The sequence below is a fragment of the Homo sapiens genome, chromosome 14 (assembly GCF_000001405.40).
Source record: "Homo sapiens chromosome 14, GRCh38.p14 Primary Assembly".
In the NCBI taxonomy this organism is placed as follows: domain Eukaryota; kingdom Metazoa; phylum Chordata; class Mammalia; order Primates; family Hominidae; genus Homo; species Homo sapiens.
This window is the reverse complement of record NC_000014.9, coordinates 68,622,617-68,643,490: the sequence shown is the minus strand read 5'-3', so window position 1 is coordinate 68,643,490 and position 20,874 is coordinate 68,622,617. Positions and strand designations below refer to the sequence as shown.

The 20,874-nt window shown below is 47.2% G+C and overlaps 1 protein-coding gene and 2 long non-coding RNA genes across 3 annotated transcripts in view, besides 1 other annotated feature; 2 read left to right on the top strand and 1 right to left on the bottom strand.

Moving 5' to 3' along the window:
• Window positions 1-7,723, top strand: part of RAD51B-AS1 (RAD51B antisense RNA 1) — a 49,673-nt gene extending 41,950 nt beyond the window's left edge. The window contains exon 4 of the long non-coding RNA XR_007064220.1: window positions 5,414-7,723. This is a non-coding gene — a long non-coding RNA (RAD51B antisense RNA 1). The remainder of the gene's footprint in view (window positions 1-5,413) is intronic.
• Window positions 1-20,874, bottom strand: part of RAD51B (RAD51 paralog B) — an 863,318-nt gene that overhangs the window by 39,606 nt on the left and 802,838 nt on the right. The window lies entirely within an intron of this gene.
• On the top strand, window positions 14,704-17,964 carry LOC100996664 (uncharacterized). Its single transcript, NR_135816.1, has 2 exons — window positions 14,704-15,139; window positions 16,141-17,964. It is a non-coding gene; the product is annotated as an uncharacterized LOC100996664 (long non-coding RNA).
• Window positions 14,996-15,045: a silencer, noted in NCBI's record as "silent region_5868". NCBI's record gives its function as "represses an Ori minimal core promoter by ATAC-STARR-seq in GM12878 lymphoblastoid cells {active_cell/tissue: GM12878}" and the evidence as "EXISTENCE:reporter gene assay evidence [ECO:0000049][PMID:35858748]".

Genomic DNA, 20,874 nt, shown 5'->3' with positions numbered 1-20,874 from the left:
TCCCATCCTCCTCTGGTCTCCTTAAATGACTGAGTGGATCAAGAAACAAGACCCAACTCTATGTTGTCTACAAGAAATCTACTTTAAATATAAAAACACACATAGATTAAAAGTAAATGAATGGATAAAGACATACCATGCTAACACTAATCAAAAGAAAACAGGAGTAGCTATATTAATTTTAGAAAGAGCAGGCTTCAGACCAAGGAAAGTTATCAGGGATAAGAGGGGCATCCCATAATGATTTAGGGTTCAGCCCTCCAATAAGATATAATAATTCTTAACTTGTATGCACCTAACAACAGAGTGTCCAAATGTGTGAGGCAAAAACTGGTAGAACTTCAAGGAGAAACAGATGAATCCACTATTACAGTTAAAAACTTCAATACTCCTCTGTCAGAAATGGACAGATCCAGCCGGCAACAACAGAATACACATTCTTCTCAAGCACACATGGAACATTCACCAAGACAGACCATGGGCCATGAAACACACCTAAACATATTTAAAATAATAGAAATCATACAATGTTTTCTCTCAAACTACAACGGAATTAAACTAGAAATAGTCTGATAGCTGGAAAATCCCCAAATACTTGGAGATTAAGCCACACACTTATAAATAACATATGGGTCAAAAAAGAAATCTTAGACGAAATTTAAAAATACTTGGATTTAAGTGAAAATGAAAATATAACTTAACAAAATTTGTGGGATGCAGCAAAAGCAGGGCTTGGGGAAATTTATAGCACTGAGTGCATACGTTAGAAGAAAGATCTAAAATCAATCACCTAAGCTTCCATCTGGGAAACTAAAAAAGGAAGAGCAAATTAAATCCCAAGGAAGGAGACGAAAAGAAATAATACAAATCAAAGGAAAAATCAATGAAATTGCAAACAGGAAATCAATAAAGAAAAATGAATAAAACCAAAAGCTGGTCCTTTGAAAACATCAATAAGATCAATAAACCTTTAATCAGGCTAAGAAAAGAGAGAGGACTAATATCTATGTTATTAATAACAGAAATGAAACAGGGAACATCACTACAGATCCCATGGACATTAAAAGGATAATGAAGAAATAATGCTATGAACAACTCTATGTCCACAAATTTTGATAACCTAGATGAAATGGACTCATTCCTTAAAGGATACAATCTGGCGAAACTCATACAAGAAGAAATAGACAATCTGAATAGGTCTATATCTATTAAAGAAATTGAATCAATAATTAATAGCCTCCCAAAATAGAAAGCACCAGGCCCAGATGGGCTCATTGGTGAGTTTTATTAAATATTTAAGGAAGAAATTATACCAATTTGCTATAATCTCTTTCAGAAGATAGAAGCAGAGGGCATACCTCCTAACTCATTCTATGAGGCCAGGATTACCCTAATAACAAAAATGGACAAAGACATTATAAGAAAAGAAAATTACATACCAATTATCTCTTACAAACGTGGATGTAAAAATCCTCAACAAAATATTAGCAAATTCAATCCAACAATGTATAAAAAGAAGTATACACTATGATCAAATGGGATTTACCTCAGGTATGCAATGCTGGTTCAACATTCCAAAATCAGTTAATGTAATCCATCACATCAATGGGCTAAAAAAAAAAAAAATCCCAGCCAGGCATGGTGGCTCACACCTATAATCCCAGCAATTCAGGAAGCCAATGCAGGAGGATCACTTGAACCCAGGAGTTGGAGACAAGCTTGGGCAACATAGTGAAACCCTGTCTCTGTATTTTTTTTTAAATCACATGATCATATCAATAGATATGATTCTATTGAGTGGATCAAGAAAAAGCATTTGACAAAATCCAACACCCATTCATGATAAAAAATTCTCAGTAAACTAGAAATACAGGGGAATTTCCTCAACATGATAAAGAATATCTACAAAAAATCTACAGCTAACATCTTAATGGTGAGAAATGCAAAGCTTTTCCACTAAGATCAGGAAGAAAGCAAGGATTTCCCCTGTTATAGTTTTTCAACATCATACTGGAAGTCCTAAATAATGCAATAAGACAAGAAAAGGAAATAAAAAGTGTTCAGATTCAGAAGGAAGAAAGAAAACTTTGTTGTAAATGACATGAACATCCATGTAGAAAATCCAAAAGGATTAACTTCTTAAGCTCCTGGGACTTCGAGCAATTATAGTAGGGTTGCAGGATACAAAGTTAGTACAAAAATGTCAATTACTTTCCTATATACCAACAGTGAACAATTGGAATTTGAAATTAAATCCCGTAGGACAGGGCTGGCATATGGTACACATGCAACACACGGCAGACATGAGTACAATCTCTGCAGACCTTCATCATCTTTTATCTGAACTGTGTCTTGGGCCTCCTTTCCTCTATTCTTTCCTTAAATAATTACCCAAATAGCAACCAAGGTGAACTCATTAAAAGATGAGTTCAAATATGACCATAATCAGTCTCTTGCTTAAAACTCTTCAAGGGCTCCTCGTTGCCCACAGGGTAAAGACCATTAACACAATGGATAACGTTTCAAAATTCAGGATCCTGGCTACCTTTTCCATTGCACCTCCTGCCACTTCTGCTTTAACTTTATGGTTAGAGACAGTAAACTGTGAGATTCCCAGCTCAGCCATTTCCCAGCACCCACCCCAACATACACCTAGATGAAATGGGCCAATTCCTTAAAGGATGCAATCTGACAAAACTCACAAGAAGTCCAGTTGCTGTTCATTGCTACACATTGCTGCTTCTTTGATATTTCCTTAGTTGTGGAATACTTCAGCCCATCCCTTGGTGAACTCTTCTTCTCCACTGTAAGTCACCTCTTCCAACAAACTAGGGCTGAGTCTCCCTCTTCTAAAAATACTACTATCATTGCATTTATCATGCTATGTTTTAAGGGTGTGCTTCTTCTGTGTCTTCAGCCCTACCAGAGCATAAGCTTCTTGAGAGCAGGAATTTTGGTTCCTTTGAGTCCCCAACACCTAGTAAGGCACCTGGCCCTCAGTAGATATACAATAAATGTTTCTTACATGAATTACTATGTACTGGCACTGAGCTAAGCACCTTACGAAGTGGATTACTCCTAACCCTTTCAATGAGATGGAAAAGTAGCTACCAGTCTGCCCATTTAATAGATGAGGAAACCAAGGCTCCCAGAGATTAAGGTGTTTGCCGTAGGTTGACATGGTTATTCCTGGATTCCAGATCTTCTGACTCTAAAGCCCATATTCACATTGCTGCACCACAGAGAGTCCCTGGAAAGGGGTGCCTTCTGGGGCCACTTTGGGTGTTTGGAGGTAAAGCTAATGTCATCACACATGCCTAATGCATGGATGTGCTTACGGAAAGTATTAGGGAATCATTGCTGGCTGCTTCCCAAAGCCTTAAAACCTGGGCCGGGCATGGTGGCTTACTCCTATAATCCCAGTACTTTGGGAGGCTGAGGTGGGTGGATCACTTGAGGTCAGGAGATCCAGACCAGCCTGGCCAACGTGGTGAAACCCCATCTCCACTAAAAATACAAAAATTAGCTGGGTGTGGTGGTGCACGCCTGTAATCCCAGCTACTCAGCAGGCCTGTAATCCCAGCTACTCAGGAGAATTGTGTGAACCCAGGAGATGGAGGCAGCAGTGAGCCGAGATTGCGCCACTGCACTCCGGCCTGGACAACAAAGCGAGACTCTGACTCAAAAAAACAAAAAACAAAAAACAAAACAACAAAAAAAACAAAACAAAACCCTGGCTCTGCCCACCTCTCCCACAGGCCTTATGGCAGCCAAACCGAAGGTTCTGTCTCAGCACACTCCTCCTCAAAGTGTCTGCAGTGCTGTCTTTTTCTCTCTGTTCCCTCAAGCTGCCTTATTTTGCTTTGGATCTCTGGCTTCTCTTCCTCCTAATTCCTAAATATAGACGCTCTGCCTGCTTCCTCCCTTTTCATTCCTATTGCTGACATATTCCTTCAGATCACAGTCCCTGTCCCTGTCCTGTGGCAGAGGTGACCACCAGATATGTGTAGCCCACCAGGGACTACCCATCAGCCACCCTTGCATGCAGGAGGGGCCAGGTGACTTGAGTTCTGGCCGGTGGAATGCCTGGCTCATAAAAGCCTCCTGCCAGGTCTTCCATATTCTCCTGGGCAACATGAATGTCAATTCCAGGCTGACCGTGGAGCCACATGTTGAAGACAGCAGAGCCCCCCTCACTCAGGATTCTTGAATTACTCCAGAAGCAAAGCCCTACACCTCAGCCCTCTACCAAATTAGCTTTATGTGAGCAAGAAACAAATCTCTATTGTTTTACACAGCTGAGATTCTGGAGTCTGTTACAGCAGCTAGCATCGCCTTACCTAACTCAGACCCCTTGCTGACCTTTGTGTTCTTGGGCTCTCCCCTCCCCCAAGGAAGCTCCACCCTACACCTCATTGCCAAGTTAGCCTTCCTTCAGTCTACGTGGGGTTGCTGCCTTCCCCCTCAACTCTTCAGTGCCTCCCCTTTACCTCCAGACTGAAGGACAATATCTCAGGCTCCAAGCACCAACCCCCTTGCTCTCACATTCTTGCACTTCTGTCAAATCTGATGAGTTTGAGTACCCGACGTGCATCCTGTCCACTCCTGTCTCTGCTTCCTGTTGTTTTCTCTCCAGCTCCATATGAAACCCTTCCTTCTCTGAGATGGGCTGTTCAGGTCCCCCAGCCACATGGAATGGCCCCTCTGAAAGCTCACAGCCCTCTGCTTGTGCGTCACGTGGGACTGATCAGTTGCGCTGCACTGCAGTGCTGCGCAGGTTTGCTCGGCACCCTTTTCCTCCCACTGGACCGTCAGCTCTCTGAGCACAAGCCTGGGTCTTACTTGTCCCCGACTGGGCCAGGCAGATCCCAGGTACAAAGTGGATGCCAGCTCCCCTCCCCCATCACCCAGCAACCCTTGATCTTTCTTCCTTGATGGTGAGGCCAGGGGACTGCAGAGTGTACACAACCAGCTCATCCATCTCCCTCCTCCCAGCACATTCAGAGGGCTAACTGTGTGACCTTTTCCATCTGTGGATTCCTCTCCCTCTCTCTTTTTTTCCCTCTCTTAAAAAGAGGGTCTTGGAGCTTGCTTGGAAGCCTGGCCTGGCTCGCAAGAAGCTGGCTGCTCAGTTATATTTAGGCTAGCAGGGACATCAATCTAAAGCTCTTTAAAAATAAAGTTCTGTTTCAGCTGGATCCCCAAGAAGGTCCCCACCCACTCCTAATAAGAAGCTCATTCGCCTCCTCCAGTCCCCCAGTCTCAATTACAGACCCTTCACGTGGCCTACACATGTGTGAATGTGTGAGTTAGGATGTCAGCTCACAGTTGCCCTCCTTGACCCAGTTCAAAAAAGGATTTCTCTCCTCTTCCAGGCCTTCCTTCACTGGCCTTCTCTCCTTTCTCTCCCGAGGGACATTGTGACTTTGAGGCCTCTTACCTCTGCAAACTAGCCAGGAGAAAAGCTGTGACTGAAGAAACTGCCTCCTCCAAAGTTTCTGGGCCCTGCCCTTCACAGGGCAATGTTCCCAGCTATGGTAAGAAGCAAAGAGAAGACAAAGACCAAAGCCTGAGGCAGAAGGTGAGGTTTGCAGTTGTGCTAAAATGTGCTGTGGGGGCCTCTAAATGAATGGTCCCAGCAGGCTGCCTGTGTGTGCAAGTGTGTGTGTTTGTGTGTGTGTGTATGTGAAGAGGTCCTCATGAACGCCTGACCGACCCTTCCTACTCCTGAACTCGGCCGCCACAGCCCTGGTTCTTTTCCATCCCCACTGATGAAACGCTTCTTTATGTCTTATTCACATCCTGTCTTGACTACCACAATTGTCTCCTTGCCGGGCCCACATGTCTCTCATCACCAATGGGATCCAAATGTTGCTGACAAAATAATCTTGCTGCCTTTGTGCTGCAATCACATTCCCTCACTTCTGCAAATTCTTCTCCGTCTCCCCATTACTAGGGGAATCACATACAAAGACCACCATCTCGCTCTGCCTCTCCTACCAGCTTGTTCTCATCCTCTGGCTGTTTCTAAGCTCAGAGATCTTTCAGGCCTGCCCAGGATGGCTGGAACAAACTCCTCATACTATTTATTCAGTCAGCAAATGTTTACGAAGTCCGAGTGAGGTGGCTCATGCTTGCAATCCCGGAAATTTGAGAGGCTAAAGTGGGAGGATCGCTTGAGGCCAGGAGTTCAAGACCAGCCTGGACAACATAGCAAGAGCCCATCTCTACACAAAATTAAAAAATTAGCCAGGTGTGATGGCCATGGTTATAGTCCCAGCTACTCTGGAGGCTGAGGTGGGAGGATCACTTGAAGCCGGGAGTTTGAGGCTGCAGTGAGCTATGATTGCACCACTGCACTCTAGCCTGAGCAATGGAGCAAGACCCTGTCTGAAAAAAAAAGTTTGTTAAGAGTGACGGGCACTCTTTCTAGGCACTGGGGAAGTAGCAAGAAACAAAGCTGAGGACAGCAATCAACAAATAAAAACAAAATAGAATGTCAAGAATTATAAGTGCTCTGAAGAAAATCAAAGCAGAGACAGGGGCTAGAGAGCAACTATTCCACAAGGTGGTCAACGAAGGGCTCTCCCAAGAGGCCTGGAATCTACTTCCCCACCTTCCCTCATGCAGGGCTTGCTTGGGGCCGCCGTCCTCCTGCTTTGCCAGAGGACTCCCCTCCCAGCCTGCTCTTGTATGTGTTTATCTTGATTTGAAGATCAGGGAGGCGCTGGGCATGTCTGCTTCAGCAGGAGACCTGTTACATTATTAACTCATTCAAGACTCACTAGGACTGGGAGACATCAAGCACATATACAAACCTCCGAACACAAACTCTGTTCTTTTCCAATGCCTGGTCCAGAACATGAATGGCCATTTAAATATGGATTTTTTTTTTTTTTTTTTTTTTTGAGACTGAGTCTCACTCTGTTGCCCAGGCTGGAGTGCAGTGGCACAATCTCCGCTCACTGCAACCTCCGCCTCCTGGGTTCAAGCGATTCTTCTGCCTCAGCCTTCCGAGTAGCCGGGACTACAGGTGCCTGCCACCATGCCCAGCTAATTTTTGTATTTTTAGTAGAGACGTGGTTTCACCATGTTGGCCAGGCTGGTCTCGAACTCCTGACCTCAAATGATCCACCCACCTCAGCCTCCCTATGTGTTGAGATGACACGTGTGAGCCACCACGCCCAGCCTTAAATATGGTATCCGATTGACTAGTGAACACTTATCTGAATGTCCTGTCAAAGGCTGAATTGTGTCTCCTGTTCTCTGGAATCAGAGGGTGTCTACTGGCAGTGATCACCCAAAGCTGACTCTGTCTACCCCAGTCGGGCCTCCCCTTCTTCAGACAAAGTACAGTGGATCCATGACATGGATGTTTGGTGACAATCAGCATTAGCTTCACTTTTAAACAGTCCATGGAAAAAAGCACTCACGGCTGGAGGCCTCAATGGACAATTTTATTAGCAGGTGAAATGACTGCCATTAAATTAGTAGCAATTAAAACTGCTATCACTTAAAAAAAAAAATGCTGTGTCCTATGTGTTTTCCTCCCTGGGAGGGGAAAGGCAAGGAGAGGTAGCAAGATGATGGCTAGATCTCCACTTAGACTCAGAGCAAAGTTGTAAATTGCTCTTCTTCTCAAAGGGTCTCTCTCTAGCAGCCAGCTCAACTATGCCCATCAGAGTTTGTCCTTGCCCTAGGTTCTTAGTGTGGTCTGTCTAGATCTGCCCTATCTAATACAATAGCCACTAGCCCAGGGGCAACTGAGCATTTGAAATGTGGCTAGTCAGAATCAATATATACTCTGGATATTGAAGACTAAGTACAAAGAAGTGAAGGTGAAATACCTCACAAATAATTTTTATATTGGTAACAAGTTAAAATATTTTGGGGTTTAATAAAATATAGTATATATTAATTATATTAAATAACTATGATATAAATTAGATTTCAAATAAAATATATCCTTAAAATTAATTTCATCTGTTTATTTTTACAGATGTGTGGCTATCAGAAAATTTAAAATGACACGTGTAGCTTGCATTTGTGGCTTGCATTACATTTCTATTGAAAATCGCTGAGTTAGCATCACATCTCTGGTTTTTAAACATAGTTTAAAGCAGTTCCATTTGGCTCACTAGAAATTTTACACAGAGCACCCTCCACTATATAAAGCAGGTAAAAGTGGAGTTGCCCAGGTTGAAGGGGGTGGATATTTGCAGGAAAAGGAAGTTGGGGGTGCATGGCATGGGGCTGAGGAGCCCCATCCATTAGCAGGAGACTGTTAGGCTCATCTATTATTGGATCGGATCACCCATTCATTTGAAATTGAGGGGGGGATACTCAGAGGCCCCCATTCAATCACCCTAAGTGGAATCTGATCATTATCTTGGGATAAACATTCCAAATGGAAGGTGAGTGCTGGAAGATAAGGAAGATAAGGAAACCATATGGCCCTGTCACCGGAGGCTCCCAGAGTCTTATTTTTGAAAGGATTAATGCATCCAAAGGGGGATCATCATAGTTCCATTTCTTGAGGCAGGCCCCAGAGCCTCGTTTATGGATGTGAACTGTCCCAGTCAGAAAGGACTAGGATTCAGGATGCATTCCTCTACCCTCTACCTTTTCCTCCTCCCTCATACTCTGTCCATCTCCCTTCACACCAAAGCCCCCCAAGCTGGTGTAAATGAATCCCCAATCTCTAAACTGTACTCAGCATCCCAGGCCTACGGAGTTGGGGTCCTGGATCTCCTTCTCCCTTGATCTAGCACCATTTCCAGAGGCTCCACCTCCGTCTCACCCCCACCCCATTACTGGCTGACTAGTGGTGGCCGCCAAGGTGGTATACGGGGGAGAGGCATTTTCCAGGCAGGGGTGGGAGGGTTTCGGTGGCTCTGTAGGGACTGTGGAGCCAGTGGCAGGCTGAGAATCCCAGCCACTGGGGGAGGGCAGGTAATATGAGCCCTGGAGAAAGGGATCTGGGGCTAAGGGGAGTGGGAGGCAAAGGCGACGGGCTTTTGAGCACGTTCTCTCCTCCCCACATCACAAGGCACTTCATCCTTCATTCCTCTGGCATTGCCGTTCTTGCACAGCTGTTCTCTGACCCACAACTGGAGACTGTTGAAGGCATTCGGTTTAGGTACAAAAATGGATGCTCTAAGCAGAGGAGGTGACTTTGGGATGGTGTACTAGTAATCATTGATAACAGTAATAATACAAAGAATAACCAGTATGTATTGAGGGCTCATTCTGTGCGAGTGCTTACCTTGATTACCTTGTTGAATCCTCAGTAACTCTACGAGGTAGGTGCCATTTTACCCAGGAGGAAACTGAGGCTCAGAGAGGCTAAGTAACTTGCCCAAGTTTGCACAGTTAGGAAGAGCTGATGGCAGGAGTCCAACTCAAGAGGCTGTACCTTGGAGCCCAGATTCTTGATGCAGACAGGAGGCCAGAACTTGCTTATTCCTGTCAAACTTCAGCAGTCTTGGTCAGTGACAAGCAACTGGAAGACAGTTGCCAAACTCTCTCTGTGCACATTTTGGATGGGCCCAAGGTAACTTGGGCAGTTGCTTCTGGCTACCACCCAAGTGAGCCTGAGCTGTGGTCTCATACCTCACTTGCTGGAACAATCCAAGCCCACTGTTGTCCAAACAGCCCTGGCCAAAAAGAGGCCACTCCCTTACCTCTGTCCTCCAGGACGGTCACATCTTAGGGCGAGGTAGGAACAACAATGGGTGTGTGTGGGTGGGGGTAGCCCCACGAGCTCCAGCCCACAGGCTTCCCTGCTTCAGGATCGCCCTGGCTGGTGGCCTGGGTTTCGGGCTTTTCTGTGCTCTGAGCACATCTAAACATTTGGAGAAAAACAAGAAAGCGAACAATAGACTCTTGTGGGCTGGAGAACAGAGCTAACTTCCCCCAGGGACTAGAGCACTGTTCATAAACTGCCCCAGCTGCACTCTCACGGTCAGGATGTCACTGGAGCCTTGCTGAATTACAGCCTTGTCCTCTCCAGGGGTGGGCTGCGGACTCCTGTTATACATCGTGGGGGGAATGCGAATGCAGTGGGGGAGCCAGCCGTTTGGGGGAAGGCGTATTCTCCTGCTTGAATTTTAAGAAATCACATAAAAAATATGCATCCGAGCCTTGGCGTTGTAGCTCTGCCAAGTCATCCCCTGACAGACATGTCCCGATCACAGCTGTTTGCCTCACAGGAAAAGAATCAGGTTTCTGTCAAGTGGACTCTGGGCACAGCCCCAGAGAGTTTCATGGGGTCCCAAGGACCTGGAGAGTCTGTGGAACTAACTTGTGTGGAGAGCAGTTTAGCCAGGAGGCAATGGCATTGGTGTCCTCAAAAAGAGGCCCAGGGCTGGGTGTGGTGGCTCATGCCTATAATCCCAGCACTTCAGCACTTTGGGAGGCCAAGACAGGAGGATCACTTGAGCCCATGTGTTCAAGACCAGCCTGGGCAAGATGGTGAGAACCCCTCTCTCCAAAAAAAAAAAAAAAAAAAAAAAAAAAAAAAGAAAAAGAAAAAGAAAAAAGAAAAAATTAGCTGGGCATGGTGGTGTGTGCTTACAGTACCAGCTACTCAGGAGGCTGGGGTGGGAGGATCACTTGAGCCTGGGTGGTCAAGGCTGCAGTGAGCTGTGATCGTACCACTGCACTCCAGCCTGGGCAACAGAGCAAGGCCCTGACTGTAAAACATAAAGACCCACTGGTCATTGCGCTGAGTAGGGTGGGCATGGTGGGCCAACGGTGGGTTTGTTGGAGCTGGCTCCCCTCAGGCTTTTTGGACAGTTGCTTCCCATCGTCACAGCCAAGGGCAGCAGGGGCATGGTGTGTTAGGTCAAGAATAAGTTGGTGAGTGGACGGGTGCAAAACAGAGCTCAGACACCCTCCTCATTCACAGCTGGCCTGGCGGGGCCAACCAGGCCCCATAAGGCTAAATCCCTCGATCCGGAGCTCCCGGCCTCCATCCCCAGGACCCTAGACAACTTGTGAGGGATGTCCCCGTCTGGATGGCATCCCTGGAAAAGGCTGCAGTGTTTCTAAAGAGGCTGTTCAGACATCACATCACAGTCCCAGACGGCCGAGCGGCTCCTGTGCTCACTTGGCCGCTCTCCCTGAGAAACACTTTGGATCAGAGAGTGCTTCTAGGTTGTTTTTCCCTGAAGAAGTGGTAAGAATTCAGCGAGCACCCCACAGCTGAAGGAAAAGTCAGTGGCTTTACTTACTGAAAGTATCAGTAAAGAACCTCCCGGAGGATGTGAAGCTCCAGACACTAGATGGGCAAGAAGGCTCCAGATGAGGGGGCCTCGGAGGCAAAGAAAGCGGAATTTAGAAACAAATGGTTTGGCTTCTGGAGAAGAAAGAAAGAGTTTCTTGGTGTCTCAGAGGTTTAAAATGGCTGTGCTAGGTCATGCCTGGCGCATGATGCAAAGGCAAAGGTCAACAGTGTTTTGCTGAAGAGGTCTTCCTGAGAACGCAGCATTCCTTCCTGGCCTGCTTCACTCAGTAAACCCTCACTGAGGGCTCCTGGGATGCAGAGGATCGAAAGATGAACAAGAAATCTCATCTTCAAACTCTCCCAGGCCAGCCAGTGATGGTTATACAGTGTGGACAGAGCAAGAATATGAGGTGGATGGCCAGCACGCAGCGCACACACAGACACTGGAGCCTGGGGAGGCAGGAGCCTGAGCGGCGTCTTCAAGGGTGAGCCAGAGCTGGCCAGGCAGCCAAGGAGGTAGGACAGACACTCCCAGCAGAGGGAACAGACCGTGCAAAGGCTGCCAGTGACAGCATGGCCCCCAGGGAGAGCTGGGACAGTGGTAAAGGGACGAGTGCCCAAAGAGGAAAAGGTGCACCTTATACTCTTTGCTTTTAACTCCCTAAATTTTCTATATGCCGGGCACATGGGAGATTCAAAACCTTGTGGCATGAGGGCCTCTCTTGAGTCAAGTTCCATCCATTCTAGCACATTAACTAAAGGCCTGTCCCCGGCTTCCGAGCTGTAGTGACTCCCCAAGGGATCAATCTCCAGGCCACTCCCTCCTCCCATACCCTAATACTGTCCTGAAAACCCTCTGGTCCACCATGCCAGGGGCAAGCAGTACACTTGCATGTTATGAGGGACGGTTCTGTTCCCAGGAAGTGAAACAATATTATCACTGTATTTTCCTGATTTCTGGTCTCACAGTGTCTTCCCAACCCAGTCCTGGAAAACTGCTATTAAATCAATGCAGCTTTAGAATTGAGGGAATCCAGTATATCCCAACTACACCCGCCTTTTAGACACAGTCTTTGACCATATACGTCCAGAATTTCATATATGCTCCCTAATTGTATTCATTTTTTTTTAACAATTGGACACATAGTTGACAGGCTTAACTCCAGTGAGCATTTGATTGAGGCTACATAATCCCACTTTCAGCGTGCCTAATGATTTCCATCTTTGCCTCAATTATATGAGCTCTGTGAGACCTGCCCTTCTTATCATGAGAATCAGCACTTCATTTTTCCATTTCCACTTATTATTATAAAATAATAGGGCCAAAATGCCAGAAAATATTCAAATACTTGCACAAACACTGCTGAACAGTCCAAAGGTGACGCTGTTGAAATGGAGTTGTTGGCCAGCAGGCAGTATTACCACGTGATGGCTTTGAAATGTTCCTTCATCTGCCAGCCTGGGAGAGCTTGAAACCAGGGGTTGGTTCAAGGGGTTGGAATGGTGGTGGTGGTATGGGTCAATGTAGAACATACGAAAAAAAGGATGTGCCCGTAGAAGTTACCGGCCGAAGGTTGTCTGGAACGATCCCACCCTCTGAAGCTCAGGGGAGTATAAACCCTGGCACCTCCTGCCCAGATGGGCAGGCACTGCTATAGGATGAGGCTGCTGGTGAAGGTTTCTCTCCAAGCAGCTAGTATCGCATCACAAATGTGCTGAAGTAAACCTTCCAATGTCTCCAAGTCCGGAGGTGCATGGGGGGTGGGGTAGGGACGGCCATGCTATTTTATAGCTGGGGAGATTCTGCATACTCATCAGGGAAGGAGGTCAAGTTCTAGGTCACACCTTCCCAGATGTGGCTCCAGGCTGACCTGCTGCAGGGGGACTAGTGGGGGAGAAAGAGCGGGCTGCTGTCATCTACAGAGATAGGGGGTTCACTGGCCAACAGAGTGGTGAAAGGACAGTTAGTGTTGCTTGAAGAAATTCCTCCGGAGGCTCAAGAGTGCCTGGAAACAAACACCCAGGATTTCTCTGCCACTTAGCAACCCAGGCAATGGAACGTGACTTACGTCTCTAAGCTTGTGAGCACAGTCCTGGCAAACTCGGCATTCCTAGGGGCTGTACTGAGAAGAGACTCCCTCTCCTCAAAGCTACCTGAATACCAAAAACCTTTTTCCAAAGCTTCTTACTGTGGAGTCAGAATCCTCCCTGACGTGATAAGAATTTTGTGAGAAGTGGTAGGAAACCTGGTCTTTTAGTTCATGACTAGCATGTTAGAAGGGACCAAACCTGGTCATAGGGACAGGAGGCTTGGCCTCCAGGCTCGCCTCTGCCCTGTCTTTCTGAATGGCTCTGGACAAGTTCCTTCATTTGCAAAGTTAGACTGTTGGTCTATGGTGGATTAGCTTTAATACTCAAGTATTAGAGTATTGGTGAAATGTAACAATATGTGAAATGTGAAAATTATAAAGTATGATTAAAAATAAATATCTTAGGACGTATGTATGCTTTTTGCAGCTGGGGAATGTAAGTCCGACCCTGGGATTTATAACAAACTACCACAGAAGGAGGACTCCTGGGCTCCCAGTCAGGCCTCAAACAGGCATCACAAAACGATAAAGCTATTTGCTTCTGAATCCAACCCTCCCAAGCCAGTTCCTCCTTCACCTGCCCTGGATGGAAGGGCAGCAATTTCCCTTCAAGATGCTGAGGGTATGAAAGCTTTGTTCGCAAGCTGGGGTATGAACACCTCCTTTTTAAGAATAAACGTTAAGACCAAGCACACACTTTTCAGAGCTGCTAACGCCCACATTTTGTGTCTAGCTTTGGGTTTCCAAGACCCAATGTGAAATGCAGTGCTTTCTCTACCTTTAAAGAAGAAAATGGGAAAGAGAGGTGGGTTTTGGGGTTCTTATTTTGCAAACCCCCTGGAGACAATGCAAAAACTCCTCCTCTGCAGCAGCAGGTAAACACCTGAGCTGGGAAGGAAAGCTACCTGGTAGTCCCAATGAATGCCAGCAAGACAAGGGCAGGGAAGAGGCGGGGCAGCTTCTCTGTCAGCTGAAGGCTTACTTTTGTTTGAACAATGTCCCAACCTCAGGAGGGAGGGACAAAACCAAGAATGGTGTGATTTCCCCTGGGGGCCACTGCTAAAATGAAGTTGGGCATCGTGTGGGGCTGGAAGCTGTGGCTGCAGGAAGCCAGGGGTGATGGCCTTCCTGCAGCCGTCTCTCGAGCCCCGAACTTGCGGGAAGAAAGGACTGCCCCCTTCCAACCCGTTCGGGTTGGTTTGCGCTGGAACGCCACGCTTTTCAAAGTGTCTGAGTGATAGGTACTTTCTAAATATGTACAGCGATGGCCTGATAAGCAACTAAGCGTCTGGCTTCGCGGGTTCATGCCCGAGGCTGTGCGGTCGGGGGAGGCTGGGGGCTCAGCCGAAACCTCAGCTCCTCCTTACAGGCCTGGTTTGGAAACGGGCTGTACACTGCTGGGGGCCCCACTTTCCAATGTTTACTTCTGAGATTGGAAGAAGAAGACAAGAAACACCTCCTCACCCCCTACCCTCTGCCTCCACGCCCGCGACTCAGCCCAGGTGACCCAAACGGCAGAGTCAACTTGGCGCAACCGGAGCGTCCCCATCGCGCCGGCCACCCCCAGCCCCCTTCGCCCCTCGCTTGGCCCCACAATGCGCCGTTGTGCCGCGCCTGCCGTCAGGCCGGGGATTTGGAGCAGGGATGGGGGGAATATTCGTCAGATATTTAAAACAGAGCCGAGAGAACAAAGCAGGCCTTTGTGCAGCAGGGCGGCCCGGGAGCTGGGAGCCGCCGGCCCCCAAGCACTGTGCTGGGCCAGGAGAGTGCGCATGCGCGCGGCGACCTGTGCGCTCGGGTTCTGTGCCGGCTTTTACCCCAGGTAAGCGGGGCGCTGCGTTAACCCCTTCCCATCCCGCGCCCCGGGGCGGCCCGAGGCAGAAGCTGGCTCTAGTCTGCTGGCTGCTGCATGTTTAGCCGAAAAAAGAAATAGTCATCTTCCATGTTTCTATAGGACACACAGCTCAAGATAAAATGATACACCACTTGAGAACCCAAATTTTCAATGACTGGAAAGACTGGGACACTTGGGTCATGTAAAAACCAAGACATTTGGAAGATGCGCCATCTTCGGATGCTAGAAGATGGAAACTTTTGATAGGCGTGGGCTTCTTCCGCCTTGTTTATGCTGGGTGAACGGCTCTTTCATTTTTCTGTTCACTGTCACTTGGAATTTGGAAGACATACTGGTTGTCGTCAAGGGCCTGGCTTTTGTTTTGGGTTGTGGGCTGACTGGATGGTGTTTATTTAAAAAAAAATAACTGAATAGCTAAATACAAGTGAAGTGTGCATGGTACAAAGATGACATTGTGTCATGAACCAAGAAATGTATAATTAATGAAATTTTATGCAGAAGAAAGAAAGAAGAGGAAATTAGTAGCTATTTAAATACATTGTGTTGTTGGGGAAGGAGATAAGGTTTCTGAAGTAGGGTAGACTAGGAGTGAGTTGGGGGGAGGTGGCATGTGCAAAGTACCCCAGTTCTGCTTTATATGGACAGTGATTGCACCCCATAGGTAATGGGGACTGGCAGACAGAGGCTGTGGGAAGCCAACGGCAGGCTTAGAAGTGAGTTATTGTGCTTGAATTATTCAGATGGGTGAGAAAGGCAGTCCCAACCAGATGATTTCACAGCCTTCCAAACGCGGCTCCTGGAGCATGTCCAGTGAGGTTAGATGGATCTCCCCCATCAGACAAGTCAGGGGGAGTGCAAGGACTCAAAGGAGGTCTCGTGACTTGTATGCTAGGAGTCTGCAGTAGCCCACCCTGCTCCAACTGTGGACACACATCTGAGGAATTTATGGCTTTCTTTTTCCTTCATAGCTGAATAACCTGGTGGTCACAAGAAAGCAAAGGGATTTTTATGTGACATCATCTTGGCAAGAAGCTCCCTTACCAACCTTGACCTCCAGGTCTCCATGGCAACTGCTGCTGGGACATCATTGGCACCAGATTGTGTCCCTTAAAGGCCACACTGCAGCAAGGGCAGATAAACAATTTCATGGCAACAGTCACGTAGCAATCTCATTCTTAAATGTGGGCTGGTTAGTTAGGATGATGTAAGTGGTTTTTTCCACTCTCTTCCGCATTCTGACTCCAGAATTCTGGGCCTAGGACATAGTCAAAGAATGTACCTTGGGGTATGAGGTAAGAAAACAGGCTGGGGTGGGACTTGAAGAAGTACCTTCTTCTAGACACAGGGACAGATTCTTTTTCCTTTCCCAGTTGAGAGTTCATTTTCTGTCTCGGTTCAACAAAGGCATGTTATCTTTATATAAAGGAAGCTGTAATAGACAGTCTCCAAGATGGCAGCCTTTAGTTCTTTCCCTCCTCAGATTCATGAGCTGCTTCTCACCTCTTAAATCTGGTCTACCTATAGTGACTTGCTTGACCAACAGAATATGCTAGGAGCAACATTCTGGAACTTCCAAGGCTTGGTTGTAAGAAGCTTTGCAATATCTGCCTGGATCTCTTAGAACCTTCAATATGGGACACTTGCTCTAGAAATCAGCCACCATCCTGTGAGAAGTCCAAGCCACAGAGTGAGGCCAGAAATAGTTGCTGCAGTCAAGAGCCCCAGCTGAGCTCTCAGCCAACATTCAGCATCACTGCCAGCCATGTGAGTGAGTGATGGTGACCTTGGATGTCCAGCTCAGTAGAACCTTCAGATGATTTCAGCCCTAGCCGTTCCAACTGCAAGACATCCTGAGTGAGCTGAGCCCAGTCAACAGAGATGTGAGAGATAAAAATGCATTGTTTTGAGACACTAAGTTTTAGAGTGTCTGTTGTGTAGCAGTAGGTAGTTCAAGAGGAATGAAATGCTAGATGGGGTATGGAAGATAGGAGAGGACCTCCTGATAGCTCAGCTACTTTGAAAGGCTTTATTTATCAGGATTTTTTGCCCCTGCATCCCACCAACACCATCCCTGCTTTCTGAGCTGTGCCTGGCACACTGCACCACACAAACCTTGCACTGCTCACTAACTGTGCCATGTATATAAGCCTCCTCAGCCCGATGGTGGACACCTTGAAGATAGGGACCTATATGATTTGATTCCTACCCTCCTTAGCACTGACAGATTTGTCAAGCTGTTCCAGTGGATAAATACGGGGGATAACTGCTGGAACAGCATCTTGAGGTGTTTATATGGCTTGGCTTCTGATCTTTGACATTTGATAACTGATGAACATGCTATTTGGGCCCACCCAGGAGCCAGCCACACCATGGGGGAGTCTGAACCTCACCCACACTGTGGCCACTCAGGGGAAGGAGACCAGGGCCAAGAACGCAGTTGCTAACCTCCTGCTTAGATTTGCTTCTTGCGGGGCAGCCCTGGAAACCCAAAGAAGAGCTAAAACTGTGTGGATGAGAGAAAACCTTCAGAACCCATTCATAGAGATACCAGGAGCAGCTGAGAACCCATTGTAGGAAGGACACATGTTCAAGACCTCCCCCATCTGCCCATCTAGGGACATGGATGTTTAACATGCTAGGGTCAGAAGTGGGAACATAGGTCAGCTTGAGTAGAACCTGGTGCCTGTGCAGGAACCCTGCCTTCTGTGGGCCCAGCTACTCGGGAGGCCAAAGAGGGAGGATGGCTTGGGTCTGGGAGGTCGAGGCTGCAGTGAGCTATGTTTGCACCACTGCACTACAGCCTGGGCAACAGAGTGAGACCCTGTTTCATAAAAAATAAATAAAAATAGAAAGCCTGGCGAGCCCAGTGTCTACTCAGAGCTTAGGAGAGAGGGAGGAGAAAAGCAGGATGAGGGCAGCTTGGGAGGCGGTCCTTCATTCTGCCAATAAACATTATTTTGTGAATCAGGCCTGGCTTGAGGCACAGCGTATGCAGAAAAGTTCAAGGGAGACAGAGTCCCTGCTCTCAGGTAAAATGCCTGGAGGAGTTGTAGCTCCGATACACATCTCACGACATGGGCAGAGCTTGGCTGACCATGGGTGTAGGGGAGCTATGGCCTTCCCTCCTCATTATATCCCAGTCTTCCAACTTTGTGAAAGACCTGGAATTCCCATGCTATAAGGTGGTATGAGTGTGGGCACTAGGGCTGGGACTAGTCCAGGTCCCAGCTCCACCACTTATTGGCTGTGTGACCTCGTGCAAGCTACTTAAACTCTCTGAACCTTTAGCATCTTATCAGTAAAAATAAGAACAGTAACAGTTCTTCATCTCAGGGTTGTCTGAGGATTTCATAAGATCCTCCTGGCAAAGTGACCCCTTAGCTCCATGTGTGGCACCTGCAGGCGCTTCGGAACCACCGGCTCCTATCCTATGTACTCCCACGAGGCATGGGAGGGCTCTGGATATGAAATTATCTGCAAGGTCCAAGTAACTTTTGCTTAGAAAAAACAAAAGGGATGATGAGGGAAGAAGTCTCACTTAGGAACGAAATTGCCTGGGGCCCTGTTTCCTGAGAGGATCGCGCAGGAGTCATATGACATTGGTCTGACTTTCCTGAACTGCCCACGCATGCGCTGAGTTTCAACAGCACCGAGAACCTAGGCTTCTCTTCCTGAAACTTAGGAGAAGCTTGGGCTTCCCTCTGGCCAGTCCAGAGGTGGTTCCCAGGTAATTGCCTGGTCCAAGAGCCACAGAGGATTTGGAATTATGAGGGTAGGGAACTGCGGTTAGGGGGATCCCAGAGTCTCAGGAAGCATTTCAGTTCCATCCCTTGACCCCACTTCATGCTCTGGCATATCGAGGGCCCGGAAGTGCTAGGAGAGCTGTGATTGGCAGGCCTCACTCCCTGCCCACCTTCCCTCTTAGCTTCCCCAGAACCATAGCCCCCTTTAGACTGGGCATATGGGCAGATAACAAAGGATATCATGCTGGGGACGTATTTCTGAGAGGGGGTGACTGCCCTTGCCCCTAAGTATGAGTTGCCTTTTCCAAATATCCCCACAATGTAAAGTGATCGGCAAAGGGGACCACAGCCCTTGGTTCTACACCCATCAAACATGTGCTGAAATCAGATTCTTTTCTAAGCAACACATCCATATTATGCCACCATTCAGACGAAACCAAGAGCTAATCATCCTGAGTATGAGATGTGTTCTCTGGTGAGATGCCTGGACCTCCACAGGGGAGGTTGTTCTCTTGAGAAAATGCCGACTTCCCCTCGTCTTTCAGAGGCCCCCTTCCTGACCAAAAGGCTCAAGGTAAGCAAAGCTAGAGCCCAGTGTTTGGGCTACATTCCAGACTCCTGGTGTTTCCAACCCAGAGGGGTTATACTCACTGCAAATCTTTACTCTCCCTAAAAGCAGTTTAACAGAAAGAAGACATTTGATCTTTCCCTAGTACATCTCAGTAGTTTGATTTTCACTGTCATGTGAATTCAAGACATAGAAAAATAAAACACAAAGCCTTACCGGCCCTACTGGTTTATCCATCATATTCTATTACCTTCTAAGAAGTCTGCCTTATTAGCATATCTGATCACTTGAGGAACACCTGGCTAGAATGTTTAGGTGGTAGCAAGGGAATGATTGGCTTATTTTCCTCCCCAGATGTCACTCTTTGGGCTCTCCACCCAGGGTCACTACTAGCCCATATGGCACCTATGTACAAGTTAGAAAAGGCACCCCTTCCTCTTTGTGGATACAGCCATGCCAGGGCACAGCTTGGCAGGATGAGTGCAGGCTGAATTTCAGCCCCCATCTGCCTTCTATGCATGTTGGCCTTTTGCAGTGAACAGCCTGTGAAACTATATGTGGTGGCCTTGCCTATACTCAATGTCACTAGCTCTCATTTCTCTTCTTGGAAAGGTGCGTGTTGGAGAGGGAAGGGAAAGAAGATGCTTGTTGCTGTTCATTACGGACAGGTTCCCCAAGAGTGACACCGTACTGTGGGTATGTTTTGAGTTCTGGGAGAGTTTCAGGGCATTTTATAGCTGGGCCAACTTTCCCTGGGACTGAGAAGTAGGGCTTGGAAATTAAGGCAGTCCTGGGGGAGGGAACAGCTGGTCAGTCTGCCCATAATCCTGCCCAGAAACCTGACAGCAAACAGCCCTGGATTTGCTCATTTGAATGCTTTAGGGGAATTTCCAAGAACCCTTCACCCTCTTATGAGAAAAAGAAGGTAGGTCCGTGGTGCTATTCTCCCCTTGCCTCCCGTGAGCTTGGGTCTGTGGTTAGGACATCTGGGCACAGGAAGTATTAACCTGTCTCCGCTTTCAGATCTGAATCCAGTCACCTGTCAAGGGGCCTGCCTTCCTCACTTTGATGAATTAATTTACAGAGTTCTCCATGGTGCAGTCTGAGGGTGTCAGGAGGGGGCGAGTCTAGAAGACTCCCTGCGGGATCTCAGGGGTATCGTTTTCCCCAGCTGTGACCCAGCATAAACACCTCTAAAATTGAATGAACAGCACATAGCACGTCCATAACACAAATAGCCCTCAGGAGGAATCGTGACATCCAGTTTTTTTTTTTTTTTTTTTTGTAAATGGATACATTAATAGACCCAGCATCAAATCCTGTAAGTCACCAAGGGCTATCAGGAAATGTAGAGATATTTGTTCATTGCCCATTCATTCATTCATTCATGA